This window comes from Homo sapiens, chromosome 10, assembly GCF_000001405.40.
Source record: "Homo sapiens chromosome 10, GRCh38.p14 Primary Assembly".
Taxonomy (NCBI): Eukaryota; Metazoa; Chordata; class Mammalia; order Primates; family Hominidae; genus Homo; species Homo sapiens.
In genome coordinates this window covers 78,422,789-78,441,118 of record NC_000010.11, presented here as the reverse complement: position 1 = coordinate 78,441,118, position 18,330 = coordinate 78,422,789, and the positions used below count along the sequence as shown (strand labels likewise).

General features: G+C 44.8%; 1 long non-coding RNA gene across 1 annotated transcript in view, besides 1 other annotated feature; it reads left to right on the top strand.

Annotated features, from left to right (window-relative positions):
• Positions 1–9,290, top strand: part of LOC107984245 (uncharacterized) — a 29,949-nt gene extending 20,659 nt beyond the window's left edge. Inside the window, exons 2-3 of the long non-coding RNA XR_001747513.2 lie at positions 3,508–3,714; positions 6,679–9,290. This is a non-coding gene — a long non-coding RNA (uncharacterized LOC107984245). The remainder of the gene's footprint in view (positions 1–3,507; positions 3,715–6,678) is intronic.
• Positions 4,993–5,287: a silencer, noted in NCBI's record as "tiled region #14781; HepG2 Repressive non-DNase unmatched - State 23:Low". NCBI's record gives its function as "represses a minimal TATA promoter and a strong SV40 promoter by Sharpr-MPRA in HepG2 cells {active_cell/tissue: HepG2}" and the evidence as "EXISTENCE:reporter gene assay evidence [ECO:0000049][PMID:27701403]".
• Positions 9,291–18,330: the final 9,040 nt, after the last annotated feature.

Sequence of the window (18,330 nt, the reverse complement as noted above, 5' to 3'; positions counted from 1 at the left end):
TATATTTAAGTGTTCTCACCACAAGAAAATAAGTATATGAATAATGAATGTGTTATTTAACTTGACTCAGCAACTCCACAATGTACACATATATCAAAATATCATGTTATATACCATAAAAACATATATTTTTTTACCAAATTAAGTTCCACTTGCCTACAAAAAAGTTTTTTAACAAGTTTCTAAAATTAAAAAAAGAATATATTAATTAAAAGTATACCTTTTTTCTTTCAGTTCACGTATAGTGTCTTTACAATTAGCTAGTTGCGATTGGCTAAGTTGTTAGGGCCTAAATACTTACTAAGCTGTCTGGGCCTAACCCAGCAGAAGGGTTAGATATTTCTTTTAGCTTAGGGGCACAGTGAGAAAAATTGCTGAGACTAAGGGCCCCATAAACATAGGAAATTGGAGAACTTCTAGCTGAAACTGATCATGGTTCCTCCTTGATCAGTCTTGGGGCAGGAACTGGGACTGGGGCCTGCCTCACCTGAAGCCCATGAAGAGTGTATACCTGAATAAACTCTTATAAAGAAAGGAGGGGAATGCATTAGGAATGCCACTAAACTCAGTGATATGGTTTGGATCTGTGTCCCCATGCATATCTCATGTTGAATTGTAATCCCCACTGCTGAAGGTGGGGCCTAGGGAGAGGTGGATGGATCACGGGGGCAGATTTTCCCCTTGGTACTGTGTTGTGATCGTGAGTTCTCACAAGATCTCGCTGTTTAAAAGTGTGTGGCACCTCCCCCTCTCTTCCTCCTGCTCTAGCCAGGTGAAGTGCCAGCACCCCCTTTGTCTTCTACCGTAATTGGAAGTTTCCTGAGGCCTCCCCGGAAAAAGAAGCCAGTCTGCTCCCTGTACAGCCTGCAGAACCAAGAGCCAATTAAACCTATTTTCTGGCCAGGCACGGTGGCTCACGCCTGTAATCCCAGTACATTGGGAGGCCGAGGCAGGTGGGTCACCTGAGGTCAGGAGTTCGAGCCAGCCTGGCCAACATGGCAAAAACCCGTCTCTGCTAAAAAAAAAAAAAAAAGAAAAAAAAATACAAAAATTAGCTGGGCATGGTTGCACCTGTAATCCCAGCTATTCAGGAGGCTGAGGCAGGACAATCGCTTGAACCTAGGAGGTGAAGGTTGCAGTGAGCCAAAATCACTTCATTGCACTCCAGCCTGGGCGACAGAGCAAGACTCCATCTCAAAAATAAAATAAAATAAGAACCTCTTTCCTTTATAAATTACCCAGTCTTGGGCATTTCTTCATAACAATTCGAGAACGGACTAATAGACTAGGGAACTGGTGATCTGCAGAGCACACCTGGAACTGTGGATCCAAACAAGCAGTCTGCTCTGTAGGTTTCTCTCTTCCTGTTCTGTGTCTCTACCACAACCTCTCCTCAGAATGCCTATGTTATCTGGGAAGGCTCCAGGGGTAGGTGATTTCAGCAATTTACATTCCCTGTCCTTTGGCTTCACCCTGTCTGCTGTCAGCCCACCAGAGGCAGATGGAAACCTTCCAGACACTCTGTGACATCGACGTCCACCTTCCCACCAGGCCTGGGTCAGGCACCTGTGCCCCGAGAGAGCCCACACATCAGCCTGTGCTGCCCAGATTCCTGCCTGGGCCCACAAAGTGTGGGGCATCTGTGAAGGCTGCCCCCAGACTCCTGCATGGCATCCAGCCCGAACGTGATGGAGCATCCAGCACTGGTGTGCCCGGCTCAGCCTCACAGCAGGCCCTGCTACTTCCCCGTGGCATCCCCTCCCCACTCCCACCACACTCAAGATCTTGGCACTTGTGGTTTCTACAACCTGGCAGGTGCTGTCGCCCCCTGCCTCCCTCTCATCCTCAAACAGCTCCCAGCCCAACGCACACCATTCACTTGCCCTCACACTGCACTGTTTATTATTATCTCAATGTGAAATGATCCTGCGTGTTTCTCTTTTGCTTGTCACATGGCTGCCTGCCTCGCTAGAGAGGGAGAAGCGTGTGCACAGAGCCCCTGCCTAGCTCTCTGATGTTGTCCAGTTCCAGGAATAGTGGCTGGAACTTAGGCAATCAATACCCATCAGTAGTTGTTTGATGAATGACTAATGCTCACCAGTGGTCCTAGGAGGTAAGAGTCATGTCCTCATTTCACAGATAGGCAGATGATGCCCACAGAGTCAAGCCCCATGCACCATGCCACAACCTGGAAAGGGACAGAGCTGGGTCCCTTTCCCCTCTCTAGCTGTCCATTTGACTTCAGTGCTGGTCACTTTTGTAGGGAAATGCAGAAGACAGGCCCGGGTGGCAACACATTCTGGATTCCTGCAGACGTGCCCAGGCTTCATGCCCTCAGAGGTGCACAGCTCCCCAAGGGGTTTGCTAGGACATGCAGAGTCCAGCATGGGTGGCAGCAGTCCAGCATGGGTGGCAAGAGCCTAGCTCAGCAGCTTCCCTTTCTGTGACTTCAGGAAGACACCCACATTCTGTGGGCCTCAGTTTCCCTATCTTCACAATAGGGGTGCTAGCTAGACTTAACACATCATTTGTCCTTCTCTCCTGATAACAGACCAAAAGTCCCAGAGAATACAATGCATTCACAGTAGGAGGAAATGAGAGGAACCTGCCACCACTGGCCCCTCTGATCCTGCATTGTCCTTTCTCATCCAGGGACCTTCCCTTATCCTGCCTGGACTCCAGAACCAGCTGCACTTTGTTCCTACCCGGCATGCTGTAACTTTTCTGTGGACAAGGTCATACGTGATCAGCCCCATTTACAGATGAGGTCCCCAAAGCCCAGAGGGTGCTCACCTCTCCTAAAGTCACACTGCCAGCAGGTGGCAGGGCCGGTGTTTGAGCCCAGATGTGCAGAGGGCCCTGACAGCTATGGCCTGTGAGCCGTGGGGCCCCCACCAACCCCCCACACAGCCTCACTCCTGCATTCCCCTCTCTGAGCCTCTCCCCATGCCAAGCTGCCAGCGTATTGGACCGTTTTCTCTGTAGGTGGTGAGTATGAGATGGAGATGTTTCTCAGCGAGTTATTTCTAGAGTTCCTGGCAAAGGCAGACCTCTGAAGCATTGTGTGTGTGTGTGTGTGTGTGTGTGTGTGTTTTTAATGCACTTCCACTGGGGGTGGCAGGCTACAAATGAAAGGGGCCATGGTGCTCAGGAAATGTTCCTCCTGTGAAGCCGGAGGGGCTCGCGGCCCCACCCATAGGTGTCTCTGTCCTTCCCCAGACCACACGTTTCCTGGGAAGGGAAACCTTACTGGAAATTCAGAATATTCTGGTATCTGCTTTTCTGAATGATTTGGACTTCCTCTGGGGGTGGGGGAGCCAGGAGAGCTGTGCATGCTTTTCCTCTCCTTCTCCTGCTCTTAGACACATTGCACTGGGCTGCAGGGCCTTCAGGTGAGCTGATTTCCAGATCCATGTTGGACTCTGAGCAGGTGGACAGAAGCCCAGTGTGTCTGTAGCCCTGGGAAGGTCTGATGGTTTTTCTGTGGTTTCCGTTTTCTCAACACAGACACTTACAATAGACATAGCACTGAATCTCGTCGATTGCTGTCAGCTACAGGTCCTCCCCAGCCTGAAGAGCCAAACTGGTTACCACAGAGGTTCTCGAGGAAGGAACCCAGTCCAGGAGGTCAGAGTCTTGGTTTCCCAAGATGGCCGGACTACTGAGTTGCTGTGTGACCTTACACAAGTGATTCAAACTCTCTGAATCTTCCAGGTAATTTCCTGGTTTGATTAAAGAGGAAATAAATGTGTCTTCCTACTTAAGAATACATCAGCTCCACCATAGTCTGGGAATCAGGAAGCTGGGGTTACAGAAATGAAATGGATTGTGTTTTTGCTCTTGGATTGGCACTCTTGGACATGGCCAGGCTTCAGCACGGGTTTCCTGCCAAGGAAAGAGGCCTGTTGTCATGGAGCTGAGTCCTGGAGGAGAGAGACCAGAGATAGGCAAGGGGAGGGCAGGAGGCAGGCAGAGACCCTCCAACGAAGACCACAGAGGGAGCAGGGATGCAGACTGAGGGCAGGACTGGTCCGTGGGGCCTGAGATCTGTCTTTAATCCCCTGGGTGACTTGTCCCCAAGCAGGAGGCCAGATTGGCCTGGGAGTCTCTGTGGGGCAAAAGCAAGGTAAATGTGCAGAAGCTAAAGGAGACAGATGATCTGTTCCACAGAAGGAAGAACTTTCCGGCATCTGAGCAGTGTGGAGTTGGGGGAAGTGAACTTGGGGTTTTCTGTGGCAGCTGGGGGGCATGCTGATTTACATGAGGTCTTTAGCAAAGTAGCCACAGTGTGCAAAGCCGCCATGGCTGAAGTTTCTATTGTGGACACCGGTGCTATTGTTGGACGCTGCAGAACTGCAGTAATTCACATTTATGTCCCAGGCAGTTCCCTGGAATGAAACACCCCGATCTTTAGAGCCTTTCCTGGGCCATTGGAAGACACTCAGCAAGTAAATTTTATGTTCTCACTCGGGTTCCTAATACAGGGTCTGTCTGGAGGGAGAGAGGCACTGTCCGTGCCTGCAGGAGCTTCCCTGGTGCAACCTAGAGACCATCTTTAGGCTGAATCCATGCTGGGTCAGGGGAGGAAGGCTTCATCCCACTGGGCAAATGAGGTGACAGTCGTCAGTGCCTGTCCCCTGTGCTAGTGAACCCTTTGATGGCTATGCGAGGCAGGAAGGATCAACTCGTTTCCCAGGGAGGCCAGGAGGTATGTGGCTCCTCACTCTGCCTCCCCCAGCTAATCAGGAGTGAAAGCAGCACTTAAGCCCTAGTCTGCCAGACTCCAAAACTCATGGCTTTCCACTAGCCAGGCTGCCTCGTCCTCAGAACTAAGGAGAGAGCAGGGGGTGCCCCGAGAAGGACTGGGGAATGTCCGCAGGGGAAGCTGGGACCCCTGGGAGATTTCACTGCAGCACCAGTTGCTGGAGAGGATGGAATCACTGTGTGCTCTGAGACCCCCACTCATGCCCCTGTGTCTGGAGCCAGGGCCCCCAATCCTCCATGCAGCCATTTTTCCAAGAAGCCAGATGCTGTGCCGCCTGCCTGCCTGTGCTTTATCAGAATACAGCAAAAGGACATAAATAAATAAACAAAACTCTGCTGAGCTCTTTCCCCCTAACGACCGCCAACGTGCAGATGCTTAAAGAGACATTTTTCCAGAGAACAATGGATGAGAGGCGTCCAGACCATGGAAGAATTTTGTGTCAGATATTATTGTTAGTTGCATTTTTTTAACAAACCCAAGCAGATAGGACCTCATTGAGATTTCTATCGGGCCCAGGAGGTTTCCTGCATTTCAACTTTTGTTTGTTTGTTTTTGTCAATACATTAGTGTCTGAAATTTGTAAGGCACTCACTTGTAGCTAGAAAAATTCCTCTGTTGGGGGGCAGTGTTTGAAAACACAATCTTTTTAATTTTCTTCAGCTGGACCTCTATCACTGGATCTTTCGTTAATATAGATCCTTATTTGTGACCGGCCCCTTCCCATCTCTCTGTGGCTAATCAGCCCGTTGGACATATGGAATTGTTTGTGCTTAAGCGGTTAGCAAGGCCAGATTGGCTGCAAGAAATGTAACACATTTTGGGCAACCCCCTCTAAGCTCTATTAGGCTTCATTGGGCAGAACCCCCATGGTCCCAAGGATAACCCTCCTCTGCTCAGGGAACACTGTGCAGGGCCAGGCAGGTATTTTCCCAAAGGACACAGGGCAGGGAGTTGGGTGGGTGGAGGGCTGCTTCTGGCTTCATCACTACGTGTTGTGTGGCCTTAGCAATCCTATTCCCCTCTCTGGCCTCCTTCTGCAGTTGTCAAGAACAGGGTTAGATGACAAGCAGGAGAAGTCCTGAAATAGGCAGACAGTGCAGGACCCTTTGAAAGGGCACCCTCGTGACCCAGGACAGCCCCTGAGCTGGTCCTCTCGTGCAACAGTGCCAGCAGTTCACTCAGGCTGACCCATTCCGTGAGGGGGAGAGGAAACTGGGGGTTCTGTGAGAGCAGGTCTGACTCACTGATTCCCCGACACGTCTCCATGGACTCTCGAGGTGCCTGCCCTGCCCATCACTGGACAATGGGCCTGGTATGAAACAGGAAGAATCCATCCCCACGGACAAGGTGGGTCCTCCACTGTCCCTGGCCCTACCCATCATCTTCGTGATGCTGGCAGGCAACAAAGGCCCACAGAGGGTCCACCATCCCACACACCCAGGGCACAAGATTGCTAGATAAAATACAGGGTGCCCAGGTAAGTCTGCATTGCAGTTAAAGAGCCAATAATTTTTTAGCATGTCCTAATATTGCAATGAGACATGCGTATCTTAAACAATTTTCATGGTTTATCTGAAATGAAAATTTAACTGGGATGTCCACTCATTGTTGCAAAATCTGGCTATCTGGCCGGGGTACGGAGTATGTAGGCATGTGAGCTGGGACCAGAGCTAGTTCCCATCCCCAGCTCTCACCTCTTGCCCCAGAACCTCTTACCTCCCTCCCCTTCTTGTATCCTCCACCCCCAAAACTCTGGAAGACACAGAGTTGCTGCAGTGATGCTTGGGAGGAACTGTCCTCATCCTCCCCAGCACTGAACTTTTAAAATTCTGAAGCCAGAAGTGCTGTGCCCTGAGCCCCCTGCAGACCACTCCACGGTGCATCTCTGACCTGGCCCTGTCTCTCCTTTGCAGAGCTGATAGAGCCACCGAAGCAGAGAAGGAGTGGGGGAGGAGAAGTCTGCAAGTGTGCACTGGACCGTGTCCTAAAGTGCCAGCCAGATGGCCATCTGTGCGCTTTGGCCTCCCCAGTCCTGCCAGGGAAGGAAGTATGAAGCCAAAGCCAGATGAGAGTGAAGACCTGGCCAACAGCCTCTCTGCAGACCCTGCCAAGCACATGCCACCCCCTCGGTCATGTGCACACACACACCTGCACACACACACTCTGCTCAGTCCTTCAGCTGGTCAGCGCTGATGGCTCTTGTGGGGGGCCTCTGCTCTGTCCCGATCCACCCATGCTCACAGTCCCCCCTGCAGAAGCACTAGTAATGCTCAGAGGACTTTCCAAAGCCCCTACGGAACCCAGGGACTGCTCACCCGTGGCTGTTGGTTATGTCAGATATCGGAGAACCAGCCCCAAAGACAGGCTACTGTTGTGGGAAAGCCCAGAACATAAGACTGCAAGGTCTGGTTCTTTCTGGAATCACTGCACTCCCTGGAGAAGGCCACACCCCTTCCTCTTTCAGGCTTTAGCTGCGGCATCTGTAAAATGGTGATCCTAACCCCTGTCCTGCCTGCCTTATGGAGACAGTGAGGATTAAATGTGTGTTAGAAAGGAAAGCTCCCTGTAGGTAAGAAAGTGTTGAGCAGACCTCACAACCAATGCTTTCCGTATGTGCTTCCAGGATTTCAGGGAGATTTTTCTATTTTCCATGGGTGTGATATGTCTCCATACAGCCTGGAGCCTAGTATTTGTGCAGATAGTCAGGACTGGAAGAGCTCAGATGTTGGAGAATTTACTGCAGGCTGGTCCTGTATATTGTATCGGCTTGTCACCTTCCTCGTTCTGCACACTGGATCTCTGTTAACATAGCCCCTGACTCTCACAGAACTTATTGTCAGCTCTAACCCTGTGCTTGTTTTCTGCACTCTGCTGCTAACATTCCCAGCCCTTGTATGGATAGGCCTGGGGCCTCATGGCACCCTGTTCCCAGGCCTGCAGAAATCTGCTCTCTGGGAGCACCTCCACCAGACCTGGCTGACCGTGTCCCTGAGCCAGAAGGGGATTAGAGGCCCCCACTGAGCTGGAGCTGGAGATTTGGAACAGAATACCCCCTCCCTTTCAGCTGGGCAAAAAGGAGAAGGAGCAGAGCCAACAGCCCCAGGGCTTCCTGAAGAAACTTTGCACCAGGAGCCTCCCATTTCCTGGGCTTCTGCTGATGGAACAAACTTTCCTCGGCCCTTGGCGGCCCAGATTCTGGAACAGGCTACTCTGCAGTCAGGCACTGTGTGGGGGAAGGGGTGTCAGCCTGGGATGGCAAGGACAAAGCCCCAGCCCATGCTGCTCCCCAATCTCTCCTTCCACCCAACTTGCTCTGTGGCCTCCAGCAAGGCCCTTCTCTTCCTGGGGCCTTAATTTCCTCAGCTGTAGAATGAGTCAGGGAAATAAGATTGGTCCGGTGAAATGTCACAGTTGAGTGGGTCTTACAGAGGCAGATTCTACATGGAGAAGGGGTGTGGAGCACCACCATCTTTTCTGATTCCACTCTCACTTCCCAGCTCTCACAGCCTTAAAGCAAACTCCAGCTGCCCAGACCTCCACTGTGTGCCCTGGGCTCTGGGCCTTGGCTGATCTGGTAAATGCTGCCCCCACACGCCAAAAGGACAGAGGAAACAACTAAGAGAGTCCCCAAGGCCCAAGGCTGGAACAATTTGAGCAACAAAATACATCATGAGAGTATCAAATTATAACTCCTAGAATAAAATAAAAATCCAGGAGTCCACATGGTTATAAATAAGTACCTGAATAAATAAATAAATGAAGGCAGCTCTTCCTTACAGAAGAGTTCCAATTAATAAATGTGACATGAACAAGGGAAATAAAAAAACACCATTAGAACACCACAGTAATAATTATTGCAGACAAGACGCACTGATGTATGCTAAAATTAATGGGTGAAAGTTTGAGGAGAAGCAGCATGTTCGAATTGTCTCAAAGTATCTCCCCCAAGAGATTTACTAATTATAAAGGGGAAAGAAAATACAGTAATCTGCAGTGGAGAAACCCAGTAGGTGCCACCTTAATCAAGTGACCAAGTTAACATCACCAGTAATAAGACGTAGCAACATCACCACACGCCCCGATAGGATGCACAGAGAAGACATTTCATGTATATAGTATTCTTGCCAAAAAATGCATAACATCAATTTCATCATGGGGGGACAATCAGACTGAGGGGCATTCTACAAAATCACCCATCAGTACCCTTTCAAATGTCAAGGTCATGGACGGCAAGGATGCTCTGAGGAACCATCACAGATTGGAGGGGATTAAGGAGAATGACAGCTAAATGAAACGTGAGAGCCTGGATTGGATCCTGGAATAGTGGAAGGATATTAAGAGAAAAACTGGTGAACTCTGAATCAAGTCTGTATTTTAGTAACAGTATTGCCCAATGTTGTTAATGTAATGATTTTGATAAATTATACAAGATGCTAACATTAGGGAAAGCTAGGTGAAGGTGTACAGAAACCCTCTGTGCTATATTTGTAACTTTTTAATTTCAAATAAAAAGTAAAAAATAAAACTGTTTCATTCCATTTTCTAGGGCTCTTCACTGATGCCAATCAATAGTTTGCAGCGTTTCTTCCCCTAGGTCCACCCTTGAATAAGTGGTGGGCCCTCCGGGCCAGGCACTTTACATACACAATTTCATTTGAATCCTCATAATGGCTCTCTGAAAGAGGTATTATTAGCCCCATTTTATAGATGAGAAAACTGATAGCCAGGGGCACACACTAGAACATAGAGGCTCTAAATTCAGACTCTGTCTGAATGCAGAGACTATGACAACTGATGTTTTTACTCAATTGTGGTAGCTTATGGAGGAGGTCTCATGCATATGGCCAGCAGCAAAGGCAATGCCTTTTGGTCCTTTGGAGCATGGCTTTGAGATGCTACATACCTTAATCCAAATGCAGGGCTGATCCTTTAACAGTAGAGTAAACGTAAGACTCTAGACTGCTTGGGCACAAATCCCAGATCTTCTACTTATTTATTATGTGTTCCTACAAAAGTTACTTAATCTCTCTGTGCCTGGGTCTCCTCTCATATAAAATAAAGGTAATATTTAATACCCGTCTATAGCCTGGCTCTGAGGGTCAAGCACTCAGGTCAGTTTTACACACTCCATAAGTGTTAACCATCTCTTTTGTCTTCGCCTTCTGCATCTTTCCCCAGCCACCTACAAAGTGCCAGCTTGCTGGCTAAGATTTCCTAAACTAAACAGCAAGTTGAGGTCCAAGAAAAGCTCAGAACACACTGTGGAAAGAGAAGCAGAGAGGCAATATCTGACCATCTACAGAAAGGTGTAAGATGTTATCAGCCTAAAATCCTAAGCTGGGTAGCAGCTAAGAACCATATAGAGACATTGTGGGATTAGCAAAATATTCCAGTCAAGGTGTCCTGGAATGATCCAACTCCTTATTAACTTGAATGTGCTCCACTGGCGGAGGCACCTACCTGCCCAGATGTGACCAATCTAAGGTTAACTTTACAAAGGGAGAAAACAGAAGGGAAAGAAAGGGAAGGGATGGAAAAGTGGTGGGAAGAAGAAAGGAGAAACACTTTTACCAAATGAGCTCATGAAGGAATGAATCTTAGAATCTCTTAAATTTTGAACATGAATCAATAAATCGCAGAACACTACTGAACACCAAAATCTAGGCAATGTTTGGCACCTGCTGGCTCGGTGAAAATACTGTTTTTTTAAATGCATGGAATGATTGAGATCTGAGAGCCACCCTTGCCATGTAAACCTGAAGAAGGAATTGATATGAGCATTGGCAGAATGCACCCTGTGGTTCTCCAGAGTGCTGAAGTCTGTTAAGTAGCAGAATTCTCATCAACTTGATCAAAACCAACCAATGACTCACACCAGGTCTATAGGTGGGCACTTCTGTGGTAATAAGGCTGATAGAACTGATTTTAGGGCTGCAGAAATCCACAGTTTTGCATAGCTAATAGGTTGGTCTTTGCTCCTGTATTTTTGAGGACATACACCCCTCATCCAAGTTCATTGCGGACCTCCTGCCACAATTGTAAATGCCTGGATGCCAAAAGACAGCCTCCTAGGAGAACATATATCCTACCCTCCTTCCTCTAGGCAGAGTCTTTTGCAACAGACTGAAATTTCACTCGCATTTGCCTCTAACTCTTCTTCACTTCAGTGGCCTCAGCTGTAAATTGACAGGGTTGGACTGGGTCAGTGGTTTTCAACCTTGAGTGCACATTAGAACAATAAGAAAATTTTAAAAAATCTTAATGCCCCTGTTCTGACCAAATCGAAATATCTGTAGTGGGTCTCAAGTATCTTTTTCTTAAAGACAAACAAACAAAAATAAAAATAGTAAATGTCTCCTCTCAGTCATGATAGAGTGATAGTACCAGAACAGCTCTCCCACTTGTATTAGTTTCCTATTCCTGCTGCACATAATATACATTTATTATCTGATCTGGAGGTGAGAAGTCAAAATGAGTCTCAGTGGGCTGAAATCAAGGTGTCAGCAGGCTGTGTTCCTTCTGGAAGCTGCAGGAGAATCCATTTCTTTGCCTGTTCCAGCTTCTGCTTCCCTTGGCTCATGTTTTCTTTCTTCTAACTTCAAAGCCAGCAAGGTTGGGCCAAATCCTTCTCACACTGCCATCCTTCTGCTTCTCTCTCTTCTGTCTTCCTCCTCCACTTTTAGGAGCCTTTTCAATTATAATCCAAAATAACCTCTCTCTTTTAAAGTCAATTTACTAGCAGTCTTAATTTTATCTGCAATCTTAACTTGCCTTCGCTACATATCATAACATATTCACTAGTTCCAGAGTGAACATCTTTAAGGGACCATATTCTGCCTACCACATCATCTAAAATGGGGGAAAAGTATGGACAAATACGTAAAACGAATGTTTTCAGACACTGAACAACAGGCATCATAGTAGTGTAGTGACTAAGAAAAAGAAAACAAAGGAGATGTGCCCTACAATTCTGCAGATTTCTGCCTAGAAGCATTTAGCAGACATGGCGATTGTTCACAAGAACCCAAGCACATCGTGCAGTCTCTGTGAGCTGAAAAGACAGAGATGTAAGTTTGGGAAGGCTGAGGCTGCTGGAACTTGTGGGGCAGAAAACTAAAGAGGAAGAGGCTATGCAGAGGAGGAGGTCCAGATATTGTCATGAAGATCCCCTGAGTCTTTGACTGAAGACTATGCTATAAATGTGTAAAGACTCCATTAAGCCAGGCAAAGAACAATCACCAGACAGGGAGTAACTACCAGGGAACTGTAAGCTGAATAAATACTAAAGCTTGGTATGGTTGAGAGACATTTGAGTTCTGACCAAATAAAGAAACCTTATCAAACACTTGGAGCATTTAGGAAAAGTCTCATAAAAGGCACACCTTGGTGGTATAACTTAGCTGTCCTTTGAGTAAAGACTACTTTAGATCCCATGAAACTTAAAACCAAGCTCAAAAGTGCAAGATAACCTGAAAGTGAACTACTGGCTATCAGAACACAACTCAATGTGCTTTATGGGGGAAAAAAACACACACACACAACAAAATCTAGACATTCAATAACTTCAAACACACAATGTCCAGCATCTAATTAAAAATAACGAAACATGCAAAAAAAAAAAAATTAAAAAGTAACCCAATAAATTTCAATAGGACAAACCTATAGAATCAAGACCAGAAATTATAGAGGTAATAGAATTCGCAGAAAAGAACTTTAAAACAGCTATTATAAATATATTCAAGGCTTAAGAAAAACATAGCACACTGAAGAGATAAAAGGTTTTTTTAATCCAGAACACCTAGAGCCAAAAAATATATAATATCTAAAATGGAATATTCACCAGACAGGCTTAATAGCAGATTAAACATCGCAAAAAGAAGTTGTAAATAAGATTGAATAGAAGGCAAGAACTATCCAAATAGAAGCAAAGAGATATTTTTAAAAAGCTAATAAATTAAACAGAGCCTCAGTGACATAAAGGACAATATTCAGTGATCTACCATTCTGAAGAAAAAAACACATTGTTTTCTGTCTACCCTTGCACACAACACAGAAAACTTCTGTGTCCAAAATGTGTGAAGATTTCTTTCCACAAACAACCAGTTCTTCAGCAGATACCAGCTGGGTGTCCTATAATTCAATTCAGTTTGATACTATCTGCCTGGAGACAGGGTCAGATCCCATAGGTGAAGGACTCAGTTCCACAAGACTGTCCCCATCAACTTCAGATGCTAATTGTAAGTCTGGGTTTTATACCTTGTGACTAACCAGATCTAAACTAGGCGGTCCCATGACCTTCTCCTCAGGTTTAATTAATTTGCTAGAGAGCTCACAGAACTCAGGGAAACATTTTGTTATACTTACACTTACCCATTTAATACAAAGACTATTGTAAACAACACAATCGAACAGTCAGATAAAGACACACAAATGATTCAGAAGGGTCCCAAGCATAAGAGCTCTGTCTCTGTGGATTTGAGGCACACCACCTTTCCAGTGCATGAATGTGTTCTTATTTACCAACCTAGAAGCTCCTCGAACTCTGTCCTTTTGGGTTTTTATGGAAGCTTCATTATGTAAGCATGATTGATTATATCACAGTGATTTGGTAATCAACTCAACTTTTAGCCCATCTTCCCTCTCAGAAGGTGAGGGAGTGGGGCCAAAAGTTTCAACCCTCCAATCACATGGTCAGTCCCACTGGCAACCAGCCCCAATCCTGTGATTATCTAAGGGCTTTCCAAAAATAATCACTTCATTAATATAAACTCAGGTGTGGTTGTAAGAGACCTGCTGTGAATAATAAAACACATGTTTTTCACTTGTATTGCCATGCAGCTGTTTCAGGAACTGAGGAAAAAAGTCTAAATTTTTTTAGCAAAAAAATACACCTATGGCTCTAGTCACTTGGGAAATTATGAGGGTTGTAGGAGCTGGGAACCAGAAGCTGTGACAAAAGCCAGAATATGTATTTTTTATTATATCACAATAGCACAACTATATTACATAATATAGAGTCTTCAAAGAAAAGGAAGAGAGCATTAAAATTATTTGAAGAAGTATTAGCTGAGTTTTCTAAATGTTTTTGAAAATATAAGTTGACATAGTCAAAAAACTCAAGAAAGCACCAGTCAGGATAAATACAAAGAAAATCATATCAGGGCATTTCATAACCAAGTTTATGAAAATGAGAAATCTTAAAAGTCACCAGAGGAAAAATACTCATGTACAGAGTAAAATAACTAAAAAGTAATAAAGACTCACATGAAACTACGCAAGCCAGAAGACGATGGAACATCTCTAGTGTGTAGAAAGGAAAGGAAAAGAGACTGTTGATCTAGAATTCTATAGCCAGTGAAAATATCCTTCAAAAGTAAAGACAAAATAAAGAATTTTCAGACAAATTTTCATTATCCCTAGCATACCTGCATTATAAGAATTATTAAACAAAGTTCTTCTAGCTGAAGGAAAATATCAGACAGAAATCAAGTTTATACAAATGAATGAAGAGTCCCAGAAATGCTAAATATGCAGGTAGGTTAAAAAAAAAAATTTGTGTTTTCTAATTTCTTATTTTCCTTAAAAGGCGGTTGATGACAATGTAAAAATAATGTGGAGTGGGGTTTATAATGTATGTATAAGTAAAATATGTGACAATAACAGCACAAAGGACAGGAGGGAAGAAAGGAATTATATTGCTATAAGATTCTTATATCACACATAAAGTGGTACCAGTAATTGACAGAACAAGGAGACAGAAAATCTATAAGGATATAGGAGACTTAACCAAATAGACCTTTATGGAACACTCTACCCAACAACAACAAAATACGTATAACTTCCAGTGCACGTGGAATACTTACCAAGTAGACCATATTCCCAGTGTTGTGCTGGAGCTGGCTTGTAGCAGCTCACAAAATTGTGCACATTTCTTTCCAATAGTACATTTAGTAACATTATGTTGAATTTGGCCACGGTGCAAGTATTTATACCATGAAAATTGGCAAATACTACCAATCAGACCTTTTTTTTCCACAAGACCTGACTTACCTGTACATTACCACATAGTCTGGTGTGCATGACAAAAGGTAATTTACATAAAACAAATACCAGTAAGTTTTAAAGTATTGACATAGTACTGTGTATGTTCTCTGGCCACAGTGGGATTAAATTTTAAAATCATAATAATAAGATATATGCACAAGCCCAAAATATTTAGAAATTAAACAATGCACTTTTAAATAACCCATAGCTCAAAGAATGAATTACAAGGGAGATTTTTAAATATTTTGAACTAAATGAAAATAAAAACAAAGCTTATGAAGTTTGTGAAATACAGATAAAGCAGCTCTAAGATGCAATGACAACTTTGTATTGATATCAGAAAGGAGAAAGTCCTAAAGTCAATCATTTAAGGCCCTATTTGATGAATGAAGAAAAAGAAGGACAAAATAAACCCAAAGAAAGTAGAAGGAAGAAAATAGTAAAAATAAGAGCATAAAACACTGAAGTAGAAAATGACAAACACAGAGGGAAATGAGTACAAACGCTGGTAGTTCTACAAGGTCAAAAAACTAGTACCATTGACAATTGCTAGGCCTCTAGCCAGATTGACCAAGAAACAAAGAAGACACACCTTACCAATCCCAGGAAAAAAACGACATATTACAGACCCTACTTTAATTAAATGGCTAATATGGAAATAGCATGAACAATTTTATGTCACAAATTCAACAACTTAGAGAAAATGTAAAAATTCCTTGAAATGTGCAAATTACCAAAGCTCACTCAAGAAGAAATAGAAAGCATAAATAACCCTGTATGTGCTAACGAAATGGAATTTGTAGTTATAAACCTTCCCACAAGGAAAGCACTAGGTTCCAATAGTTTCACTGGCAGATTCTATTTTTAAAAACTAGGTTTAAAAAAATCAGACCTATCAAATTATTTTAGAAAACAAAGAAAACTCTTCCCCATTTGTTTTATGAGCAAACTTATTCTGATACCTAAACCAGAAAGCATATATTAAAATAGAAAACTACAGACCAATACCCTTCATGGAGCACAAATGCTGCTAAAATATGAGCAAATTGTATTCAACAGTATGTTAATACAAAAATGATAATACACTATGACCCAGTGGGGTTTATCCTAGGAATTAAAGGTCAGTTTAATATTCAAATATAAGTGAATTTATATGATTATCTCAATAGAATCTTGAAAAAAATTGACACAATTCAATATCATTTATGGTAAAAACTTGCAGTGCAAGACTGTATTCTTGCACTGCAAGTTTTTACCATAAATGATGTTGAATTAATATATATATATCAATTCAAGCAAATATACACATTTGCTTCCAGGCTGCTCTTCTTCGCACTGAGGCTCAAGGTATTGGTGCTTTCTTCCCTGAACTGGCTCCCTCTCCAGGACCTCAATTATACTGCAGCCCAGCAGTCCAAAGCCTAGTTCTATTCAAGGGGACTTCTCTACCACCTTGGTGTAAGCCCTCAGCACCACATGAGCAGAGCCATTGCATTGGGGAATCAGGGTTTCCCAGCCAAGGGAAAAAGCTTTGATTTGGTCAGCACTTACTTTTGTCTAAGCATGAAAGAAACCCAGCTCAGCCTGGATTAAACCAAAAATAAATGTTATCAACTCACATGACCAGTGTTAGTCCTGGCTGAACCCAGGTGCTAGGTGGAATGATTAGTTCTGTTTCTCAGCTTCCGTTCTTCTCTGTTGACTTCATCCTCGAGCTGGCTGTCCCTACAAGGTGGCAGAAATGGCCCCAGCAGCTCCAGGCCCATGTCCTAATGTGTCCAGAGTTGGTTCCTTCTGATGGATTCTTGGTCTCACTGACTTCAAGAATGAAGCTGCAGACCTCTGTGGTGAGTGTTACAGCTCTTAAAGGTGGCACAGACCCAAAGAGTGAGCAGCAATAAGATTTTTTGTGAACAGCGAAAGAACAAAGCTTCCACAGCATGGAAGGTGACTGGAGCAGGTTGCCTGCTGGCTTGGAGTGGGGGGTGGTGGCCAGCTTTTATTCCCTTATTTGTCCCTGCCCACCTCCTGCTGATTGGTCCATTTTACAGAGTGCTGATTGGTCCATTTTACAGAGCACTGATTGGTCCATTTTACAGAGCGCTGATTGGTGCATTTTTACAGAGTGCTGATTGGTGCATTTACAATCCTTTAGCTAGACACAGAGTGCTGATTGATGCATTTACAGTCCTCTAGCTAGACAGAAAAGTTCTCCAAGTCCCCACTCAACCCAGGAAGTCCAGCTGGCTTCACCTCTCAATCCCAGCACTTTGGGAGGCAGAGGCGGGTGGATCACAAGGTCAGGAGTTTGAGACCAGTCTGGCCAAGACGGTGAAACCCCGTCTCTACTAAAAGTACAAAAATTAGCCTGGTGTGGTGGTGGGCGCCTGTAATCCCTGCTACTTGGGAGGCTGAGGCACGAGAATCACGTGAACCCGAGAGGCGGAGGTTGCAGTGAACTGAGATGGCACCACTGCACTCTAGCCTGGGCGACAGAGCAAGACTCCATCTCAAAAAAAAAAAAGAAAAAAAAATGCTATATGAGGCTGGTAAACAGGGGCAGGTCACTTCTCTGGTGAATGAGCTTAACCAACCCCCCAGCATCCTCCTCTCTTGAAGGAGGAGTTACAGACTATGCCAGCCACTTGCGGATTCACAGCAGCCTTGGGACAGGGCTCTTGGTGGGTGGGTTTTCTCTGGTAGAAAGAGTATCTACTTAGGCGTCAGGCATTTTACCAGATTGACATTCCACATGCATTCCATGTCTCCTCAAGACAGTCCAGAGAGAGGGATATTGTTCTTACCTGACAATCAGGGAAACCAAGTCCCAAAGACTTAAGTGACTTCACAAAGTCAGGAAACGCTGGTGATAGATTCTATTCTAAATCTAGAAAAAATATCCTTCCCATAGCACCTCTATCTTTTCCCATTAACGTTAGTAGGTGTTCAATAAATATTCATGAGATAGGGAAGAGAATTTGAACTGTCTGCACACTAGCCACTTGGCCAGTAAATTGGAAGGCGAGAATATGGTCCCCGTATACACTTACAGCATGTTGAGAGAAGCAGGGCTTCCCAGACAGGCGAGGGCTCTTTTCAGAAAGGGTAGAGCAGGCTCTGAGCAGCCTGGCTTTTTAAACAAGAATCGAAGGTGATTCTTGTGATTAAGTGTTGTCGGCAGCCGTGCCACGGGGACCCACAAAAGGCAGAAAATGGCCGTGACACTTGTCTTACTCAGACTGCAGTGGAAGGAGCAGACCCGCCTAGTTTCTGGAAGAGGGTAGCCTATTTTCTCCCCTTCGAGGCAAGTGGAGGTTCATGAAGGGTGGGACCAGAAGAGGCGAAGGAAAGTTACTGCTGCCCAGAGCAGCAAAGTGTTTTCTTTTCTTTTTTTTCTTTTTTTTTTAGACGGAGTCTCGCTCTGTTGCCCAGGCTGGAGAGCAGTGGGGCAATCTGAGTAGCTGGGACTACAGGCGCCAGCCACCATGCCCAGCTAATTTTTTGTATTTTTAATAGAGACG